The sequence below is a fragment of the Homo sapiens genome, chromosome 11 (genome assembly GCF_000001405.40).
Source record: "Homo sapiens chromosome 11, GRCh38.p14 Primary Assembly".
Taxonomy (NCBI): Eukaryota; Metazoa; Chordata; class Mammalia; order Primates; family Hominidae; genus Homo; species Homo sapiens.
The window spans coordinates 76,838,363-76,861,638 of NC_000011.10; the positions used below are offsets into that span (position 1 = coordinate 76,838,363).

The 23,276-nt window shown below is 43.7% G+C and overlaps 1 protein-coding gene across 8 annotated transcripts in view, besides 3 other annotated features; it reads left to right on the forward strand.

The window, feature by feature from the left end:
* Positions 605–1,804: an enhancer, noted in NCBI's record as "CDK7 strongly-dependent group 2 enhancer chr11:76550011-76551210 (GRCh37/hg19 assembly coordinates)". NCBI's record gives its function as "activates an origin of replication core promoter dependent on BRD2, BRD4, P300/CBP, MED14 and CDK7 cofactors, with strong dependence on CDK7, by STARR-seq in HCT116 cells {active_cell/tissue: HCT116}" and the evidence as "EXISTENCE:reporter gene assay evidence [ECO:0000049][PMID:35650434]".
* Positions 22,229–22,328: a silencer, noted in NCBI's record as "silent region_3791". NCBI's record gives its function as "represses an Ori minimal core promoter by ATAC-STARR-seq in GM12878 lymphoblastoid cells {active_cell/tissue: GM12878}" and the evidence as "EXISTENCE:reporter gene assay evidence [ECO:0000049][PMID:35858748]".
* Positions 22,369–22,628: a silencer, noted in NCBI's record as "silent region_3792". NCBI's record gives its function as "represses an Ori minimal core promoter by ATAC-STARR-seq in GM12878 lymphoblastoid cells {active_cell/tissue: GM12878}" and the evidence as "EXISTENCE:reporter gene assay evidence [ECO:0000049][PMID:35858748]".
* The window catches only part of ACER3 (alkaline ceramidase 3), a 165,880-nt gene continuing 165,159 nt past the window's right edge, over positions 22,556–23,276 (forward strand). For all 8 annotated transcript variants that reach the window (XR_007062489.1, NM_018367.7, XM_011545151.3 and 5 more), the window contains exon 1: positions 22,556–22,717. Coding sequence is in view for 5 of the 8 variants with exons in the window: in NM_018367.7 (NP_060837.3) it covers positions 22,615–22,717 (103 nt within the window). In the remaining 3 variants the exon portion in view is untranslated. The remainder of the gene's footprint in view (positions 22,718–23,276) is intronic.

Genomic DNA, 23,276 nt, shown 5'->3' on the forward strand with positions numbered 1-23,276 from the left:
AAAATGCATCTTTGTTACCATCAGGGTGGCAGGAAATAAGTTCTGGCCCTGGCTTCAAATGTGCAAACTCAATGTGTCTGTTCTTCTCTTTAAAAAAGCTTTGCCGGTGGCTGCTTTGTGCTTGGCACTGGGGACAAAGGGATAAACTAGACCGGAATCCTGCCCTGGAGAAGCGCCCCGTCTGGGGAAGCAGGCCAGTGTGTTCAAAGACACTGCCCTGAATGAGAAAGTCACTGCATGGCTAAGTCCCAAAGAGCAAGTCTCCAAATTTCCTTTTTTTAACTATTTAAAAGAAGTAAATGGAGATTTTCACTGGATGGGATAGCTTGAACAACTTTTTAAGATTTCTAGCTGCCTTTAGCTGACTGGTCTTTACTTTATCTTCAGGATAGTATTTTGAGGAATGCTCACTGGGCTCAGTTTGTGCTTGGTTCCCAGCTGCTGCAACTAGAGGGACCTGGAGTAGACAGAAGGGACCCTCTGCTAGGAGCGGGGAGTCAGTACCAGCAGACAATGGCTCCATCCAGCGGGCAGAGGGAGACTGGAGGTACAAGGGGACACACTGGGGTCAGAAGGGAGAAGACTGAGGGACAGAGAGAGAGGGGAGTTTGCTGGGGAGTGGCAGAGAGCAGGAAAGCCTTAGGGACAGAGGGGGAAATGCAGGGGCCGGAAAAGAATATGTCTAGAAGAATCCTTAATATTCCAGAACGTATTATTCTAATGTAGATATATTCTTGAAGAATACATTCTTACTCCTGAATAAGACTATATCAGTGATGTTTCCTTTTCTTAAACATATTCATGAATAACATGTTCATAAATACATTCTGGAATGTTTATATTCTAATGACTTCATTCTTCTCACATCCTTTGGTCTCGTCTTCTCTCTGCCCCTCACTCTTTCCTCCCTGCTGCTCACTCTCCCCCCTCCCACTCTCAGCCTCCCCTTCCCTTTGACCCTCAGTCTCCTCATTTTGCAGTCAGGCAGTGGCTGGGAATGGAGTGTCCTAAAGGCTTCCTCATTTGCATTTCTCATGCCTGCACTAAGACTCTAGTAGCCAGGGTTCCTCAAGCTTCTTCCTCTAGTTCTGTGTTCCTTCCCCTTGGTGTCTCCAGCATGCTAGCCCCGGGCTCCAAAGGTGTGTGTCCTAAGAATATATTGCCTTTGGTGACTTAGCCTCATTAGTCATAGAGTGTCACTTCCACAGGATCTCCCAGATCAAAGGGCAGTGAACACAGACTCCACTTCTCAAAGGAGGAGGATCAGTTTCACACTGGGACTGGCATAGGCTGGTGCAGCCATCTTTGGAAAATACCATCTTCCTCAAGTGAATATTTAAAACCAGGTATCTGCTGTTTGCTGAATATGAATCTAAAATAAAATAATACAAAAAAAAGGTGAAAGTAAGAGTAAAGAAAGAGTTATACCTGGCAAGTATCAAGCAAAAGAATGCTGGTATAGTAATTATTTTAATATTAGACAAAAGAGGTTTTAAGGATAGAGCATTACCAGGATTAAAGAGGGTCCCTAGGTATGATAAAATGTTCAAGTCAACGGAAGGATAAAACGATTCTGAATCAATACACACCCAATAGCATGTGTATATACTCACGTATATACATATACATGACAGAACACACACAGATACAGACCTGGTCGGTGCTTACTCATTCTTCCAGACTCAACACAGATCTCCAACAAACCTCCCCTCCTCTTCCAGGCGGAGTTACGATCCTTGCTCCAGGCATGTCCACTCTTTCTTCCTTCTAATAGCCCTGATCTTACTGAACACCAGACTCTAGGTCATTTTTTCTACAAGTAAATCACAGAAAGCCAGCTGGCCAAATGAAGAATTCCTCAAACCATCACTTTGCTGAATGGTTAATATCTTAGAAGCTAATTCACCAAAAGCCAAGTCATTCCAAGTTAATTCTCTAAATTTGCTTATGTCTTTTTCAACTATTATATAATTCACAGCAGTTGGTATTCGATGGGATAGGTTTTTCAAATTGTTGTAATAAAATTAAGTAGGTAAAAATACTTACAAAGTAGGTAAAAAGTATAAAGAATGATACAACAAAACGCATGCACCCAAAACCAGTTTTTTGAAGTGAACATTACTGTTACCTTTGGAACCTCCTCGGTGTTCCGCCCTGAGGAACACCCCACCCTATCACCTTCCTTCTCACCCCAGAGATAACCATTCTTCTGAATTTTCTGTGTTTTATTCCCTTGCTGTTCTTCATAGTTTTACCACATATTTTTATCCTCAAAGTGCTTTTTTTAGTTTTTCATGTTTCCTAACTTTAGGTTAAAGGAAGTGGAGAGTATGTATTTTTCTGTGACTCACTTTTTTCTTTTTTAAAAACATTATTTATATAAATTACTTTAATCGTGGCTCAAGTGATTCCAATGCCTCAGCCTCCCAAAGTGCTGGGATTACAGGAGTGAGCCTCACTTTTTTCATTCAACATTATGTTCCAGAGACTCATTCTTGTTGATGCCTAGACTTTTCATTCATTCATTTTCTTGTCTACATAGTATTGTGTTTTATGAATACATTACAATTTATCCATTGAGTGAAGGGACACTTAAATGGCTCCAGGGTTCCAGCATTGCACAGAGCATGGCTAGGAACATCCTTTTTTTTTTTTTTTTTTTTGAGACAGGGTCTTGCTCTGTTGCCCAGGCTGGAGTGCAGTGGCATGATCATGGCTCACTGTAGCCTATATCTCCTGGGCTCAAACAATCTTCCCACCACAGCCTCCTGAATAGCTGGGACCACAGGTGCATGCCGCCACGCATAGCTAATTTTTAAAAAATATTCTGTAGAGACGGGGATCTCCCTGTGTTGCCCAGGCTGGTCTCAAGTAATCCTCCCAGCTCAGCCTCCAAAGTGCTGAGATTATAGCCATGAGCCACTGTGCCCAGCCAGGAACATTCTTATATGTATGTCTTAGGGCACTCATGCTATGACATTGATTCAATTCATTCCTTACAACAACCATATGAAGTATGTATAATCAACCTCATTTTAGAGATGAAGTAATTGAAATTAAGAAAAATTAAATGACTAAAGACATGAGTCTAATAAGAGGGGCAAGACTTTGATACATTAAACCTCCCCATGTCATGAAGTTGTCTTTCAGAAGGGAAGCCTACCCATGGACCCATTCTCTAAGCAAACAGCTCCTCTCTGGGCAATTCCTGTCCCCCCTTTCCCCATCCCCTTTCTCACAGCATCCCACCAGTCTCTCCCTTCCAGCCTCATCCTTCCCTGTCCCCTTCCTCTCAATCCCTGAAACCCACCATGATTCCATTTCAAATTGACGCTGCCCATTCAGAGTTAGAACAAAGAGCCTTAATCTCCCACCCAATGTTTTCCACCTTCCCTATCACTCAGTCTTTTGTCCCCAAGCTCTGACCACTCACAAATAAAAGAGCCTTAATCTCCCACCCAATGTTTTCCACCTTCCCTATCACTCAGTCTCTTGTCCCCAAGCTCTGACCACCCACAGCTCTGCTCTACCTCTGTGATGATTCTGATAACTCTACCCAGCTTGCAGTGTATCCCTCCGCCAGGTGGAAGCTCTTTGAGCAAGGGTCTGTGCCTTTCATCTCCATTTCCCCTGCAGTTCCAGAGAACCTCTCTAGTGGTATTTAGCATGCTCTGTCTCACGTTAAAGGACCTGTTTCATTTTTCCAGATCTCTCCAGGGCCCTGCTCAGAGTCCTGCACAGACTGAGTTAACAAATATTTAATGAAAGGATCAATTCTTACCCAAACCACTTTTTGTGTGGTGCCTGGATTAATTTCAGTTAATGTTTACTAATCTGCTTTAAAGTACCAAATACAGGGCAAAGCCCTCCTGCGCCAGGTGCGTCAAACCACTCCCTCCATCTCATGTCTCCAGGCTCAAGCAGAGAGCCAACCCTGATCTGGTACCTTCCTGGGCACAGTCCTTTTCAGAGACATCCTAAAATTCTACCATTTCCTAACAACCACCATGGACATTTACATAGCTTTTATGAAGTTTAAGCAAGTGTAAGCACTTTCAGACATATCTGATCTGCCTAAGCTTCCAGTGCTACAGGTATCATGGTCCCCATTTTACAGTTAAGAAAAGCAAGACCTAGAGACAAGGGATTCCCCCTAGTCCACACAGAAAGAATTAAATTCAACTTTTCTTATTTCAGAGCCCTTGACTTTGTACTCCATTAAGCCACTGCTTCCATGAAGCCTTACTCAAGGCAATGGAGTTTGGCAGGCAACACATTGTAGTGGGGAAGGGTGCCAGCTTGGGGTAAATCAGCCTTTGAGTTTGAGTTCTAGCTCCATCACTCAGTAATTGTGTGACCTTCATCAAGTCACTAATTTCCCTGGTCCTGAGTGCTTCATCTGCAAATGGGGTAGTAATACCTACCTCAAAAATTATGAAGATTGAATGAAAAAAGAAGTGTGTAAATTGTCTCACATATAGTCAAGGCTCATTAAGTGTTAGCCCCTAATCTGGCCCCACTTTGCTTTCACCCGCCTCCAATCCCTGTGATGATAATCCAAGAGATCGAAACGCTGTGCTCTAAACCAAAGTATTAGCTCAGTCTGTGCATGCGGGGGATTGCCCCCACCTAAGTGAGAACGTGACCAAAAAGTGGGAATTTTTTTTCGTTTTTTTTTTTTTTTTTTTTTTTTTTTTTGAGACGGAGTATCCCACTGTCGCCCAGGCTGGAGTGCAGTGGCGTGATCTCGACTTACTGCAAGCTCTGCCTCGCCGGTTCACTCCATTCTCCTGCCTCAGCCTCCCGTGTAGCTGGGACTACAGGCGCCCGCCACCACGCCCGGCTAATTTTTTTGTATTTTTAGTAGAGACGGGGTTTCACCGTGTTAGCCAGGATGGTCTCGGTCTCCTGACCTCGTGATCCGCCCGCCTCAGCCTCCCAAAGTGCTGGGATTACAGGCGTGAGCCACCGCGCCCAGACAAAAGCGGGAATTATTTTAAAACAAAATTATGGGAGGCCATTGTGAGCTCATGCACTAGGCCCCAACAGACCAAACCAAACCAAAATGGAGTTGCTTGTGCTAAGACTTTAAGGAAACACATAGATCCTAGAACAGACCAGTTTTTTTTTCCTCTCTCTTGCAAATCTCTGTAACAAACATTCCTGACAGCATAGGTATCCACCCATTGAAGTTCCCATTAAATCTTTTAACCAAATTAATTTCCTGTCTCCTAGAGACCATCAAACCAGATGATCATGTGGCAAGTGTTCCAGCCAGTTCCAGATGAAGACACCACCCCCTGAAGAAGCTACCCTATTTCCACTAGACAGAGGAGGGCGAGAATTCCATGATTCCATGATTCCCAATATGTAAGGACTACACCTCAATCAGCATGAGGCAATTACAGAAGAAAGACCATTGGTCCCTCTGCCTCCCATAAAGATTTATGGGGATCACATCTCTCAGGGAAAAATGAGGCAGGAGAATAGGGTCTGGAGGCAGGGATCATAAGGCTGATTCACACTGACTTCCTAGAACTAAATCAAAAGGAAAACCCCAACTTTCCACACCTAAGTAACAAAAGGACTGGAGGCTACTCCCTTTGCAAACCACCCCCTGCCGCCCTTTTTCTACATGGTAGATGGAAAATTTAAAGTATCTCTAATTGGTTGCAGGTTGCAGAAAGCAACCAATCAGAGGCTTGCATAGGAGTGTAACTTTGTAACTTCAGCCTCTGATTGGTTGCTTTTCACAACCAATCAGACACTTGCATAAGTGTAACCTTTGTAACTTCAGCCTCTGACTGGTTGCTTTCCTAAACCAAACAGACTAATTGCGGGCCATACTTCACTTACATAGCGTGTACACCAAGTAGTAACCAATGGGAAACCTCTAGATGGTATTTAAATCCCAGAAAATTCTGTAATGGGGGTCTTGAGCTCCTATGCTCCGGCCGCTCCCACCCTGTGGAGTGTACTTTGATTTTCAATAAATCTCTGCTTTTGTTGCTTCATTCTTTCCTTGTTTTGTTTGTGTGTTTTCTTCAATTCTTTGTTCAAAACACCAAGAACCTGTACACCCTACACCAGTAACACATGCTATGGTCAATATCTACAATTTCTGTCTCCAAGTATGCAAGCACTACTTTGAACCGCATACACTAACAACTTGGTGTTCTGGGTCATTAGTTGCAAATCGACAGGTTCTGTTTTAGTCACAAAATCAAGTTTCATCACCGCGATGCTCTGGAGAGGAAAATGTGGGTTTGGGATATTGTAGATACTACCTATCAACCAGCTATGCGTTATTTGGAAATTCTTGGCCACGTTTGGCCCAAACTCTGCTGCCTGTTTTGCAATGTGTGGTTTGGCCTGGTACTACCATTCACTTCAATTCGTAAGCTTCGTGTAATAATATTCAGCACCTCCTTGGTTTCCAACATACTCAGGTTACCTACAATGATCCCAACTTGTGTTTGTGTCACCTGTTGGTGTGCATACACAAAACGTCGAGTTCTATTGGAACAAATTGTAAAGCAAAGTGCAAGATCATAAGAGTTTGTCTTTATATGTTAGACTCATATGTAGCCAAATTTATGTGGCACAATCAATTTGGAAATAATGCTTTCAATTCCCTTTTGCTGTATATATCAGAAGAACAATTTACAATTTCCTGTTAACTAGTATCATGTTTTGACTTAGGGTTTTAGCATGTTTTATTACAAACATCCAGAGACAAGTTTTTCAGTTGAGTCCCATTGGACAGACAAATTGTTCAGTTGACCCAGTTTTCTTATCTATAAAATGAGGATGGTGATATTTATCTTGGTAAGTGACTGGGATAATTAAATAAAGTAATGCATATAAAAATGCTTACTCCCGGGTGTGGTGGATCACGCCTGTAATCCCAGCCCTTGGGGAGGCCCAGGCAGGCAGATTGCCTGAGCCTAGGAGATTGACACCAGCCTGGGCAACATGGCAAAACTCCATATCTATAAAAAATACAAAAATTAGCCAGGTGTGGTGGTGTGTGCCTGTAGTCCCAGCTACTTGAGAGGCTGAGGTGGGAGGATCGCTTGAGCCTAGGAAAGGGAGGTTACAGTGAGCTGTGATCACACCACTGCATTTCAGCCTGGGCAACAGAGCCAGACTCTGTCTCAAAAAAAAAAAAAAAAAAAAACGCCGGGCGTGGTGGCTCACATCTGTAATCCTAGCACTTTGGGAGGCCAAGGTAGATGAATAACCAGAGGTCAGGAGTTCAAGACCAGCCTGGCCAACATGGTGAAAAGCCTTCTCTACTAAAAATACGAAAACTAGCCAGGTGTGGTCGTGGGTGCCTGTAGTCCCAGCTACTCGGGAGGCTGAGGTAGGAGAATCGCTTGAACCCAGGAGGCAGAGGTTGCAGTGAGCCAAGATTGCGTCATTGCACTCCAAATTGGGCAACAAGAGAGAAACTCCATCTAAAAAAAATATACATATATATATATGTATATATATATATATACATATATATATATATACACATATATATATATATATATATATATATATTTACTTAAATGCCTGGCTAGCAGGTGCAGTGGTGCACACCTGTAGCCTCAGTCAACTTGGGGCTGAGGAGAGAGGATTGCTTGAGCCCAGGAGTTCAGTTTCCATCTTGGCAACATAGAGAGGCTCTGTCTCTGAAAAAAAGTAAAATAAAAATTGTAAATTCCTGGCTGGAATTAAACAGGCACTTCATAAATAGTAGTAGTGGTGGTGGTGGTGGTGGTGGTGGTGGTGGTAGTAAATGGTCAATTTGTATTGAGTTTTTGCTATGTTCCAAGGCATTGCCCTAAGTGCCTTAAACTCAGTATCTCATTTACTTCTAATAGCACCGTTGTGAGATTGATGTAGGTATTAGCCTAGTTTTTCAGGTGAAGGAGCCAAGGCATATACAGTATAAGAAAATAACACAAATTTACAGAAATAATAAGAGGCATTGCTGGCTTCAAATCTGAGATCTGTCAGCGTGTTTGGACTTGATCCCATGGGCAATAGAGAATCACCAAAGATTGATTGATTGATTGATTGATTGCTTCACCTATCTGACATCAAAGTCTGTGTACCCTATAACTAGTAATCATTCTTTTAAGTGGATGACACCATTCTACCTCATTCACATATGCAGCAACAGGGCCTGAGAGGTGGGCAGGAACCGGGTCACAAAGAGCCTTATCCGTCATGTAAAGGAGTTTGAACTTTATCCTACAGGTAGTGGAAAGAGAAAGGATTTGGAGTTACACAGATGGCTCACTCTGCACCTTGCCCTGTGCTAGGCACTAGGGACACACTGAGAGCCAAGACACTTTCCTTGCCCTGAGGCTGCCTGGAGTCTGCCTCAGTTTCTCAAGATGTGGTTCCTGCCTCACAACGACCCAAGCTTGCAGATCCAGGGCCCCAGAGATTCTGATTCTTTTTTTTTTTTTTTTTTTTTTTGAGATGGAGTTTTTGCTCTTGTTGCCCAGGCTGGAGTGCAATGATGCAATCTCAGCTCACTGCAACCTCCACCTCCTGGGTTCAAGCGATTCTTCTGCCTCAGCCTCCTAAGTAGCTGGGATTACAGGTGCACACCACCACACTCAGCTAATTTTTTGTATTTAATAGAGACAGGTTTTCACCATGTTGATATCAGGCTGGTCTCGAACTCCTGACCTCAAGTTATCCACCCACCTCGGCCTCCCGAAGTGCTGGGATTACAGGTGTGAACCACTGTGCCTAGCCAAGATTCTGATTCTTTAGGTCTCAGCTGAAACATAACAAGCAGCGATTGTGATATTCTCTTAAGTTTGAGAGCCATGGATCTTGCTGGTGGGGAAGACAAGTAGACAGATGATTACAATACAGAGAGATGTTATGATCAAGAAGAATTTCTGGAGGAAGTCCGGTTTGAGCTGAGACTTGAATGATTAAACAACAGTTAGCCAAAGTGGCAGAAAGGGAAGGGGAGATTCAAGCTGAAGGGAATATGTTCACAAATGTCCAGGACTGAGAGAAGGGGTTCTTTTAGGGAAGAGAAAGTATTTTAGGAATGCAACAACAAGATTTGAGAGATGGACAGGAACTAGGTCACCAAGAGCCTTGCTGGTCATATCAGGGAGTCTGGACTTTATCCCATAGGCTGTGGAAAATCACTGAAAGTTATTTTGTTGTTTGGAAGAAGACATTGATAGAGCCCTCTGGCAGCCACAGTGTAAAGAATAAATAGGTTGTGGGATTGGAGCACGGCTAAGACTTTCTTCAGGGCTATCAGGGCACAGGCAATGATGACTTGGACAGAGATAATGGTAGTAAGGGAGAGAGGAAAATGGACAGAGAGAAGAATTCATAGGGTATGATCACTGGATAAAGCTGCATGGAGATAGGGAGGTGTCAAGACTTCTTTCTTTTTTTTTTGAGACAGGGACTTGCCTGTCGCCCACAGCTCACTGCAGCCTCAACCTCTTGGGCTCAAATGATCCTCCCACATCAGCCTCTTGAGTAGCTAGGACTACAGGCGCATGACACCACACCTGGCTAATTTTTGTATTTTTAGTAGAGACAGGGTTTCGCCATGTTGCCCAGGCTGGTCTTGAATTCCTGGGCTCAAGTGATCTGCTCTCCTCAGCCTCCCAGAGTGCTGGGGTTACAGGCATAAGCCACCGCACCCAGTCAAGGCTTCATTCTTTAACAAACTGGGTCAATGGTTGTGAATTTCACTATGAAAAACAAAACAAAACAAAACAAAAACAGTGGAAGAGAAGCCAGTGTGGAGGGAAAATGAGATAACTTTAGAACATAACTAATCTGAGATCCTTATGAAATATCCGACCAGGCGCCCTGGCTCATGCCTGTAATCCCAGCACTTGGGGAGGCCGAGGCGGGCAGATCACCTGAGGTCAGAAGTTCAAGACCAGCCTGGCCAACATGGTAAAACCCTGTCTCTACTAAAAATACAAAAAAATTAGCTGGGCGTGGTGGTGGGTGCCTGTAATCCCAGCTACTTGGGAAGCTGAGGCAGGAGAATTGCTTGAACCCGCGAGGCGGAGGTTGCAGTGAGCCGAGATCATGCCATTGCACTCCAGCCTGGGCGAGAGAGCAAGACTCTGTCAAAAAACAAACAAAAAAAAGAAAAAAAGAAAAGAAGCCCTATCTCTGCAAAAATATAAAAATTAGCCGGGCATGATGGCAGGTGCCTATAATCCCAGCTACTCAGGAGGCTGAGGCAGGAGAATCACTTGAACCTGGGAGGCGGAGGTTGCAGTGAGCCAAGCTCACGCCATTGCACTCCAGCCTGGGCGACAGAATGAGACTCCATCTCAAAAAAAAAAAAGAAAAGAAAAGAAAAGAAAAGGAAAAGAAATATCCAAGGAGAGCTGTTCAGAAGATAGTTGGAAATGCTGGTCTGTGGGAGATCCTGTCAGTTGGTCACTGAATATCCTGTCCCCCTACTTTTTTCCTAACAGAAGCCAATTTTGTTTGGACAGTGTGGTGCCCAGCTAAAACATCCACTCTCCTAGACTCTTTTGCCAGTCTTCCCAGACTATTTATGGTTGGTCATGAGACCCCTGTTCCAACCAAAGAGTTCTAAGTGGATATCAATGGGTGTAGGTTCTGAAGAGGCTGTTTCCTTCACTTCCCTCCTTCCCTCTCTCCCTCTCTCCCTCCCCGCTTGCTTGCTTGCTTTCCTTCCTTCCTTCCTTCCTTCCTTCCTTCCTTCCTTCTTTCTCTCTTTCTCTCTTTCTCTCTTTCTCTCTTTCTTTCTTTCTTTCTTTCTTTCTTTCTTCTTTCTTTCTTTCTTTCTCTCTTCAGAGACAGGGTCTCACTGTGTTACCCAGGCTGGTCTTGAACTCCTGTGCTCAAGTGATCCTCCTGCCTCAGCCTCCCAAAGTACTGGGATTACAGGTATGAGCCACCGTGCCTGGCCTGGCTATTGTTTTCATGATAGCAATGGACAGCCCTGGCTGGCATTTGCTTTTTACCCTTGCCCTTCTTCCTTTGTCTTACCCAAACAGAGTTGGGTTTCTTAGACAAGAAGCAGCCATCTTGTGACCATGAGGCTGAAGACCATACCCTAAGGGGGCAGAGCAAGAAGAAGGATTCTGGCACTGTGGAGCTGTGGCAGGGCCCTGGACTGTCTACTGCCTGAGAAAAACAAACCCTTCTTTGGTTAAGGCACTGGAACTAATTTTCTGTCGCCTGCAGCAAAACATGATCCTAACTGATTGAAGAGCCGAAGCTGTGGAAACTGATCTGGGTTAGAGATAGAGATTTGGGTCAGCCTCTAGACTGTAACAGTGCTAGGGTAGATACAAGAAAACCAGACATCCACCTATGCACAGATAGAAATTATGAGTTAAAGAAAAGAGAGGGCTTGGCTTATAGGCAATGCGGAAAGGAAGGAATTCCTGTTCACAGGGCAAGCATCTTTAGGGTACTTTAAAAATTGTTGATGTTTCCATAACCTCATTCAAAACAAAACAATCAAATTAGAGCTATTCAATTAATACTCAACTTCATCAAATTTATTTTGTAACAGCTTTCCAGGTGGAAACAGGCTGTTGACTCTGTTCGTGTGTGTGGTGACTTACCTCCCAGGGTGTGGCGTATTTTGGGCTCAGGAGCTCACTTGGTAAACTTCAGCTCTTCTCTATCTTCCACCAAGCAAGGAACTCTGAAGTTCTCTCCTGGAAATTTGGGACAAGGACTGTCCAGGACCTATGTTGCAGTTTAATCTGACTGTCCTATCCTTTGCCAAGATTATTTGCCACAGCCTTCTAACTGATTTTCCTGATCCCTCGCCTCCTCCTTACCCTGCCCTACTACAAAAAATCCCCACATCAAAAACTTATTTCTTCTAACACGTGGATTTAAACATGTTATTCCCTTTCTTGAACACTAAGATAAACCCTAAATGCGTTATCACAGCATATTGGGCCCCACCCTTTGCATCTCTAGTCTCTGATATTTGTCCTCACTCCTCCCTCATGTCTGCACACAAGTTCAGCCACTCCGAATGTCTCATTCTGCCTGTTTTTCTCTTGCCCTTTCAAGCCCTTACAGTCTGTTTCTTGCCCAGAAATGCTTTCTCTGCCTTCTGCTCTGACCAACCACCCACAACAATCTACTACAGCCAGATTAATTTTCTGGTTTTCCTAGCAGCTAGGAATGGCTGGAAACCTACCACTTTCTTCTCCTTCAACCCTTCCCCACAGGTCTGTCTCCAATTCCTGTTGATTCTACCCTCTAAACATCGGTGAATTTGTCCTCTCCTCTCCATCACTATTGCTACTCACCCTATCACTGCAATAGTCTCTTCTGCAGGCTCCATGTCTTCAGTCTTTCCCAATTCAGTCAATCTGTCCTCCCTTCTGCATACATACCCATATCAAGATCTTACTTAAAACCCTGTAGGCCCTTGATGGCATTGTCCCTGCAGACCTCATAAGCCTCATTGCCTACACTTCAGCTAAAAAGTAAAACCAAACACAGTGCTGGCCTCTAAGGAGACCTCTAGTTCTCTCTGTCCAGCACAGCCCTTTCTTCCAAGCTCACACAGCCAGCTTGGCACAGCAGAGAAGAACATGGCCTCTGGCACCAGACTGCCTGGATTCCAGCCTAGGCTCAGCTGCTTATGATCTGGCTGCCATTGGGTGAAATACCTAACCTCACTGTGTCAGTTTCATCATCTGTAAACAAGGGCTAAAAGTAGTACTTAATTCACAGGATTGTTAGAAAGATTTTAAAAGGTAATCCCGGGCCGGGCGCAGTGTCTCACGCCTATAATCCCAGCATTTTGGGAGGTCGAGGCGAGTGGATCACCTGAGTTCAGGAGTTCCAGACCAAACTGTCCAATATGGCAAAACCTCATCTCTACTAAAAATACAAAACTTAGCCGGGCATGGTGGTGCACGCCTATAATCCCAGCTATTTGGGAGGCTGAGGCAGAAGAATTGCTTGAACCCGGAGACAGAGGTTGCAGTGAGCCAAGATCACACCATTGCACTCCAGCCTGGGCAACAGAGTGAGACTCAGTCTCAAGAAAACCCCATTTTGACCTTGGAGATTTGTCTGTTTTTCCTCTTCTAGTGCCCAGAATAGTGCCTGACACACAGCTGGGATTCCTTAAATATTTATTAGAAAGTGAATTTACTAACTTGCTTTGTGTGTTTTGTCATATTTCATTTATTACCAGGTCAAAATTGGGAATACTCTGTATTCCCAACACTAAGCTTGCTTGATAATAGATGTTCAATTCATTTTGCAGATTCCCATGTAAACTGGCTTTTACTTATTCAAGTTTTGCAAAGATGTAATGTAACTAGAGGAGACTCCAATCAGGAGAAAATGGGAGAGAACATAGGGGCACTGGCAGGAGACATGGCAGGTGGCCTGCGGCCGAGGTATAGAAGGTAATAGAAGAGGTCTGCAAGGGGAAATCCTGGGAGACAAGGGGCCCAGGAAGTCTAGCTTGCTCAAGGAGCTTGAAATTGACTTTTGTTCTGTGTAATCCAAGTTTCTTCTGAGTTTAGAAAATAAGTCTTATGAGAGAATCAGGCCTTATGAGAAAATCAGGCCCTAGCACTAACACTGCCTGGAGAGTGGGGCTTGGGGTCCAGCTGCTGGGGTCTAATGCCTTCCTGAGATCATCAGGATGGCATCAGAGTAGAGCCTCAAAGTCTGGAATTGGGAGTGATGGTTAGTCTAATAATGTTTCTGGAAGCATAAGCATCAGCAGGTACATACAACATTTATTTTTCAATACTTATCACGCATTTTAAGTAAAAACAGAAAGCTCCAAAATGATTTGTATTTTATAACTATTTTAATAAAACATGTATATGTATGAAAAATATCTGGCTAGTTATACACCAAAATATTATCAGTGTTTACTAAATGATGAAATTCCAGGTGATTCTTGATTCCTTTTTCTTTCTTTCTTTTTTCTTTTTGAGATGGAGTCTTGCTCTGTTGCCCAGGCTGGAGTGCAGTGGTGCGATCTCGGTTCACTGAAACCTCCACCTCCCGGGTTCAAGTGATCCTCTGCCTCAGCCTCCCGAGTAGCTGGGATTACAGGAGCCCACCACCACGCCTGGCTAATTTTTGTATTTTTAGTAGAGATGGGGTTTCACCATGTTTGCCAGGCTGGTCTTGAACTCCTGACCTCAGATGGTCCACCCGCCTCGGCCTCCCGAAGTGCTGAGATTACAAGCATGAGCCACTGCTCTTTGAAAGAGCTGCTTCCTCTTTCTCTCTTTCTTTCTTTCTTTCTCTTTTTCTCTCTCTCTCTCTTTTTCTTTCTCTCTTTCTTTCTTTTTGACAGGATCTTGCTCTTGCTCTGTTGCCCAGGCTGGAGTGCAGTCGTGTGATTATAGCTCATTGCAGCCTCGAACACCCAGTCTCAAGATGTCCTCCCACCTCATTCTCTCAAGTAGCTAGAAGTATAAGCCTGTGCCACCACACCTGACTGATTTTTAATTGTTTTGTAGAGGTGGGGTTTTACTATGTTGCCCAGGCTGATTTTGAACTCCTGGCCTCAAGCAATTGTCTCACCTTTGCCTCCCAAAGCACAGAGATTACAGGAATCAGCCACTGTGCCCAGCCTCAGGTGATTCTTTATATATTTTTTCATTGTGGATTTTTTTTTGAATAAATATATTTTCAGTGTGAAATATAATTTAATTGTGAAAATGTAAATTGGTACAACCTTTGCATTATCTACTAATTTGAAAATGTGCAAACGTTCATTCATAGGTAACATGCTAAAGGTAATATGCTTGTACGTGTGTCAGAAGGTATGTAAAAATAAACATCAGGATAGCAGTGGTTATAATAGCAAAGGTGAAAAACAACTTCATATTCATCTTAGGAGAATTGATAAATACATTGTGGTATTGTGATACGAAAGAAGGCCATAAAAGAGTAAAACTTGACCAAGCGTAGTGGTTCACACCTGTAATCCCAACACTCTGGAGGCTGAGGTGGATCACTTGAGGCCAGAAGTTTGAGACCACCCTGGGCAACATAGCCAGACCCTGTCTCTACAAAAAAATTAAAAAATAAAAACTAGTGAGGCATGATGATGCGCCTGTAGTCCTAGCTACTCAGGAGACTGAGGCGAGAGGATCCCTTGCGCCAGGAGTTCAAGGTTACAGTGAGTTATAATGTGCCACTGCACTCTAGCCTGGGGGACAGAGCGAGACCCCATCTCTAAAAGAATAAAAATAAGAGTAAAAATAAATAAACTAAAGCCTTATGCAACAACGTGGATGAATCTTAAAAGTATAGTATTTTGATAAAAAAAGAGCAAGTCTCCAAATAATACATTCCATGCGAGTCTACTTATATCAAGCTCAAAAACATGCAAAATATATGTTCAGGGATACATTTATATAATAAAATATACAGAAAAGTAAAGGAATGATAAAAACAAAATTCAGGAGGGTGGTTGCTTATGGAGAAAGGAAAGTGATGAGACTGAAGAAGGATACACAGGGGTTCAAGTAATTGGCTACGGTCCATCTCTTAAACTGGTTGATGGCTATGTCAAGATTCATTTCATTATTTTTCTGAATAACTTACATAAGTTATAGATATTATTTTAGTATATTATATATTCATAATAAAATTATTTTTTCCATCTGTATTTTTAAATTTTCCATAAAGAACATATATTACTGGTTATATTAAACAGAGAAAGTAAATAATAAATGTAATAACATTTTAAAAATTCGTATTCTCTTGTGCCTTTTCTTATCCTTGCCTTTTTATATATATGTATATAAATATATACACATTCACTGTGTATTTATTGACAATGTAATCTGCAGCAAGTTGTGTGTTAGGCATACAGTGGTGACATATGATTTCTATCCTAATGGCACTTACCCTCATGAGTGCTCTCTAGATCCCTGTAAAATCCTCTGAGTAGGCTTCATTATCAAGATTTCACAAATCCATTAGCAATTTTTCTTAATGTAGCTATTAAGCACCTGTGCTCTAACGCCAGCCTGCTAGATTCAAATCCTTGCTCTGCTATGAACTAGTTGTATATATTTGGGCAAGTAACTTAACCTGTTTGTACTTTAATGTCCCTAACTGTGAAATGAGAAAAGGAACAGTGTCTACCTCATAGGATTGCTGTAAGATTTTACTGAGTTTATATATTTATACATAAAACTCAGAACAGGGTCTAGCCCATGGTAAATGTTCGATAAACACTATTGTTATATTGTTCTATAAGTATCTCCTGAGAGCCAGTCCTGTGTCAGGTCCAGATGAAGATACAGAGATAGAGTGGGACAGGGTCTGGAAGGCCAACTCCCAAACAGCCTATTACCAAAAGCGAGAGGAGTATGGCAGAGGGAAACCAAGGATCTGCAGGAGAACACAGGAGGCTCTTCAACCCTGTCTGGGGGTCAGGGGAGCCTTCCCAGAAAGGCTAGGGTTCTGTCCCCAGGTTGAGGTCTGTTGTCTTTTGGTGACACTCCATGTCTCCCACAGAGAGATAGCTAGGCAGTGTTAAGGGGCTGCCATGAATGCACTGAGCTGTAAAAGAGGACAAGAGGTAACTTGTAGATCTTAAGATCACTTATTCTGTGGTGAGCCTACACATTTGGTTTTTGTGGTTTCAAATTTTCCTTTGCAGTTGTGAAATGGTACAACATATCTCATATGGAAAAATTAATTATAGCTTGGATTTCTTTTGTCATATTGAAAACTGATAAAAAGAATTTTCAGTAGGAATCTAGTTGAAAGCTTTCAAAATTTGGGTTGTTAGTCGAAAATAAATATTGGCATTGGAAATAACCTAAATACCCAGTAGTAAGGGAATAGTAATATATCATAATTAAGTAAATTGTGATTTATTTATAAAATTGGATATGATGTAACTTCTTTTTTTTTTTTTTTTAGAAACAGGGACTCACTGTTGCCCAGGCTGGAGTGGAGTGGTGCATAATATGTCACTGTAACTTCAAACTCCTGGGCTCAGGCACCCTCTCGTCCCAGCCTTCTGAGTAGCTGGGACTACAGGCACACACCAACACACCCAGCTAATTTTTAAAATTTTTTGTAGAGGCAGGGTTTGGCTATGTTGCCCAGGCTGGTGTTGAACTCTTGAGCTCAAGAGATCCTCCCAGTTTGGCCTCCCAAAGTGCTGGGATTATAGGCATGATCCACTGCACCCTCCCTAATGTAACTATTAAAGTGATATTTATGAGTATTTTTAATAGCATGAGAAATGCTTATGAAAGAATATGAAATATAAAGATAAAAATAGCTCCATCATGTAAACAAATCATTAGATAAAATAACGGAAGAAAATGTACTTAAGTGTTGACAATGGACATTGCTAGTTGGTGGGATTGTAAGTGATTTCTTTTTTTATACTTTTTTTTTTTTGGTATTTTCTAAATTTTTCAACTTAAGAATGTATTGCTTTAAACAAAAGTTTTGGCCGGGTGCAATGGCTTATGCCTGCAATCTCAGCACTTTGGGAGGCCGAAGTGGGCAGATCACCTGAGGTCAGGAGTTCAAGACCAGCCTGGCCTACATGGTGAAACCTGGTCTCTGCTAAAAATACAAAATTAGCCAGGCGTGGTGGTGCACACCTGTAATCTCAGCTACTCAGGAGGCTGAAGCAGAGAATCACTTAAACCCAGGAAGCAGAGGTTGCAGTGAGCCGAGATCATACCATTGCACTCCAGCCTCAGCAAAAAGAATAAAACTCCATCTCAAAATAAAATAAAATAAAATAAAATAAAATAAAATAAAATAAAAAGTTTTAAGATGTAATTTACACACCATACATATTGGCCATTTAAAGTATACACTTCAGTGGGTTTTTTTTTTGGGCATGTCCACAGAGTTGTGTAACTATCACCACAATCTAATTTTAGAACACTTTCATCATCCCCCAAACTTACCCTATTCCCATTAACAGTCACCTCCTGTTCCTGCTCCCTTTCTCAGCCTTAGACAACCACTGATTTACTTTCTATCTCTTCAGATTTGCCTATTCTAGATGTTCCATATATTATAAATGGAATCACAATATGTGCCCCTTGGTGTCTGGCTTCTTTGATATGGCATAAAATTTTCAAGGTTCATCCATGTTGTAGCATGCACCAGTATTTCATTTCATTTCTTTTTATTGCAGAATAATATTTCATTGAATGTGTATATCACACTTATTAATCTATTCATCAGTTGATGGACATTTGGTGTGTTTCCACTTTTTGGCTACTGTGAATAATACTGCTATGATCATTCTTGTACAAGTTTTTGGTGGATATATGTTTTTAATTCTCTTGGTGTATACCTAGGAGTAAAACTGCTTAGGTCATATGATAACTCCATTTAGCATTCTGAGGAACTGAAAAAGTTCTCAAAGCTGCTGCACCATTTTACATACCAGCGATGTTTGAGGGTTCCACTTTCTCCACATGCTTGCCAACATTTGTTGTTATTTGTCTTTTTGATTATAGCCATCCTAGGTTGTCTGAAGCGGCATCTCACTGTGGTTTTGATTTGCATTTTTCTAATGGCTAATTATGTTGAACATCTTTTCTTTTTCCTTTTCTTTTGTTTTTTTTTTTGTGACGTAGTCTTGCTCTGTCGCCCAGGCTGGAGTGCAGCAGTGCAATCTCGGCTCACTGCAAGCTCCGCCTCCTGGGTTCACGCCATTCTCCTGCCTCAGCCTCCCGAGTAGCTGGGACTACAGGTGCCCACCACCACGCCCGGCGAATTTTTTGTGTTTTTAGTAGAGACGGGGTTTCACTGTGTTAGCCAGGATGGTCTCGATCTCCTGACCTCATGATCCGCCTGCCTCGGCCTCCCAAAGTGCTGGGATTACAGGCTTGAGCCACAGCGCCCGGCTATGTTGAACATCTTTTCATGTTTTTATTGATCATTTGTATATCTTCCTTGGAGAAATGTCTATTCAGATCCTTTACTCATTCTTTAATAGGGTTATTGGGAGTTACTTGTCTTCTAATTATTGAATTACAAGTTCTTTATATATTCTGGACACAAGTCTCATATAAGATATATGATTTGCAAATAATTTCTTTCATTCTGTGGGTTGTCTTTTCACTTTCTTGATGGTATCATTTTCAGCAAAGGAGTTTTTAATTTTGATGAAGTCCAATTTATCTATTTTTCCCTTTGTCGCTTGTGTTTTTGGTGTTTTATATAAGAAACCATTGCCTACCCAAGGTTACAAATATTTATTTTTATGTAAACTTCTAAGAATTGTATAGTTTTGGCTCTTACATTTAGGTCTATGATCTATTTTGAGTTGAATTTTGTTTATTGTAACAGGAAGCATTCTAATTTCATTCTTTTGCATGTGGATATCCAGTTGTCCCAGCACCATTTGTTGAAAGACTATTCAATCCCTATTGAATTGTCTTGGCATCCTTGTTAAAAATCAATTGACCATAAATGTAAGGGTTTATTGCTGGACTCTCAATTCGATTCCTTTGATCTACATGTCTATCTTCATGCCAGTACTGCACTGTCTTCATTACTATAGTTTTACAGTAAGTGTTGAAATCAGGAAGTATAAGTCCTCCAGCTTTGTTCTTCTTTTTTGAGATAGTTTTGACTTGTCTGGGTCCCTTACATTTCCAGGCATTGCTTTTATGCTCAAGGGGGGAAATTTTTTAGAAAAAAAGAAAAAGGAAGGTAGATATTGCTGAAGGAACTGTGAAATTCATTTTGTGTTTTCTGAGTGAAACTTCTGCAATGCACCTTTTCTCTCGGATGGGGGAATTTCTCTCTCCTAAAATCCGTCCTGGTCACGGTAGATTTCCTTTTTCACTATTGAGGAACATTGTGCAGAGTATTGACTCAGCCAAGGCCTCATCCTGCCTTGAGTCACTTGGCTGGGTCAGGGGTTATTTTCACATAGGGGGTTCCACAACACCCTAATTTTTTTTTTACTCCTAGCTAAGAATGATCATACTCTATTGTTGTGGTCTCTGCACTGTTCTGATTGCACACCTCATCGGCAAATCACTTTTGCGTATGAGTTTTTGCATATTCATTTTGAGCATATAAATATATAAATATTTCATTCATTTATAAATTATATATGCTCATGATTATTACATAAACACATAAACAAAACGGAAGTTTTAGAATATGAGATAAAGTGACTAGAAATAGATGTTTCCCCACACCTCAATGGCTTTTATCTCTCTGGAGACGGCCTTCTTGGATCTTTCATGTTTACCTCTGTGTGGTCCTAGCACCCAGGCAGCCAAACAGGGCCTGGTATATAGTAGAAGCTCAATGACATTCAAAATAAAAATTTCAGGCCAGGCAGGGTGTAACTCAGGCCTGTAATCCCAGGACTTTCGGAGGCCAAGGAGGGTGGATCACTCAAGGTCAGGAGTTCAAGACTGGCCTGGCCAACATGGTGAAATCTCGTCTCTATTAAAAATACAAAAATTAGCCAGGTGTGGTGGCAGCCTCCTGTAATCCCAGCTATGGGGATGAGGGGGTACTGAGGCACGATTCCCGGAAGGCAGAAGTTGCAGCGAGCCAAGATGGCACCACTGCACTCCAGCCTGGGCGACAGATCGAGATTCTGTCTCAAAAAAGAAAAATTTCAGAGAGGCTACTATTCGTATTAAAATACACTGCTTCCGGCCGGGTGCGATGGCTCACGCCTGTAATCCCAGCACTTTGGGAGGCCGAGGCGGGTGAATCACGAGGTCAAGAGATCGAGGCCAGCCTGGCCAACAAGGTGAAACCCTGTCTCTACTAAAAATACAAAAATTAGCTGGGCGTGGTGGTGCACACCTGTAGTCCCAGCTACTCTGGAGGCTGAGACAGGAGAATCGCTTAAACCCAGGGGGCGGAAGTTGCGGTGAGCTGAGATCATGCCAGTGCATTCCAGCCTGGCCGACAGAGCAAGACTGTCTCAAAAAAAAAAAAAAAAAAAAAAAAAGATACACTGCTTCCCTAGGTTTTGCACCTAGCAAATAAAAGTTCTGCATCTATTTCCTGCTAATTGGCTATGGTTATTTTGTAGAAAGGCTGTGGGCTCTTCATCTCTCCTTGTCCTCTCTTTTACCTTTGACTTGCACCACATCTGACTTATTTATTTAGAAAATAGCAGTTGTATCATCCTTCATTTTTACTCTTCATTTCTTACTGTGTATTCAGGCAGAGTCCTAATACTAAGACCATAAAGAAGGGAAAGCAAGGTCTCTGATCAGGATGTAGCACAGTAGGATGTGAACAAAGGGCAAGGAAGCTCTAGGGTGTAAACATCTGGGATGGCTTCAGAGAGCTGGATTTTAAAAGAAGAGTGGGGAGTTGGTCAAACGGAGAAGAGAGTTAGGCTGTCCCAGTTGAACTGTGGGAGCAAAGGCAGGTGACCCAGCGCATTCTAGGAGAGGGGAAAGTTTGAGTTTGGTGTAGCTGAACACTAGGGGCAAGGGTGGTTGCATCTGTTTTAGGAAGAGCTCTCTGGCAGACCTGTGGAGTACTAGACTTTTTATTTATTTATTTATTTATTTATTTATTTATTTATTTAGAGACAGGGTCTCGCTCTGTTCTCCCAGGCTGGATTGGCACAGTCTCAGCTCACTGCATGCAATCTCCACCGCGGGGGCTCAAGTGATCCTCCCACCTCAGCTTCTCAAGTAGCTGGGACCACACGTCTGAGCCACCGCGCCCAGCTAATTTTTGTATTTTTCGTAGACACGGGGTTTTGCCGTCTACGATACTCCCAGACGGGGGCTGGGAGTATTAGACTTGAAGTTGGAAGTAGGGGTAGGCTGTTGGTTGCCTGAAGAGCAGGGCACAATTATAGTTAGAACGTGGAAACCTCTGTGCTTGGAGGCCCAAACGAAGCAGGGAAACTTTGCTTTAGTGCTCTAGCTAGCAGCATTCTTTTTTTTTAGGATCTCAGAACCTACTTTTTTTTTTTCGGTCCTGGGTTGTTCACCCTTTCCCTTTGTACCGAAGAGACACTTACACCTTTATCAGAAAATCACGGTTTATTTCCTGAGAATCACGGGGATTGGTTGGGGGTACTCTGTTTTGGGGCTCCATTTGAGGCCTGTGGCTCAATGGAAGACATAGAGGCGCTTCGCCGCACAGGTTTAATCAAGCAAGGGCTTGATAGAAGTATTCATCCCACCCCCGCCCCGATTAAATCAAACCACACGCACACAAATAGAGGCTCTGGCACATCCTGACAGAATATAGCCTCTGGGATGTCAGGAACCCCCAACCTACGGCCATTGGCGTGTCTGCACCGGCCAGGAAGCCCAGGCCCCCGGCTCCTTCCTGGATCACGCCCCTGCCCCGCCCAAGGGTGAAGAGGGGCGGGGCCAGCCGGCGCCCTCCGAGTGGGCCTTACACCAGGTCGGGCCTGGCCCGGCCCCGCGGCCCAGCGGCGCCGGTGGGCGGGGCCTCCGTCAGGGCAGTGTCAGTAACGGCGCCAGGCCCCGCCCCTCGGGGAGGCAGGGCCGGGCGGGGCGCGAGCGAGCGCGCGGGCTGGGCCGGAGCCGGCCTGGTCGCCAGCCTAACCCGGCACAGTGAGCGGAGCGCCTGGGCGGCGGCGGCGGCGGCGTGATGGCTCCGGCCGCGGACCGAGAGGGCTACTGGGGCCCCACGACCTCCACGCTGGACTGGTGCGAGGAGAACTACTCCGTGACCTGGTACATCGCCGAGTTCTGTGAGTGTGGCCTGAGGAGGGGAGTGGGGGCGAGAGGGCACCGGGCTGAGGAGACGCCGTGTGAGGAAGGCAAAGAGCGAACCTGGCCGCGAAGGGAGGTGCCAGGCCTGGCCCCGGGAGCTGGAATGCGGCGCCCTGGGCCAGCGGGAGGCTGAGAGGAGCGGGCCGGGAGTCCAGTGTGTAGAGGGAGGAGTACCGGGGTCTGGGAGGGAGGAAGGGGGCCTGAGGATTGGGGGGGCAGAAGAGCAGTGGGAAGTGGGGAGCCCCTGCTGGACCTAAGGGGGAAAGCCTGAAGAGCCGGGTTGGGAATGGGAATTCCTGCCCGAGAGCGGAGTGGGGCCAGGCTGGGAGAGTGGAGGACCCTGCCCCTTGGAATGAGGGCCCAGGACACCTGCTCTGCTGTTGCCACCACCAGAAGGGTACAGTTCCTAGCTTCGTCTTTCCCCCAATCCGTGAGAATTCTACCGTCTTTCCCTTCCCTTTTCACTGGAATATTAGACCTCCTTGCTCACCTCCAGGGAACAGTTTCACTAGTCTGAGATCTGAACCATCCCACCCC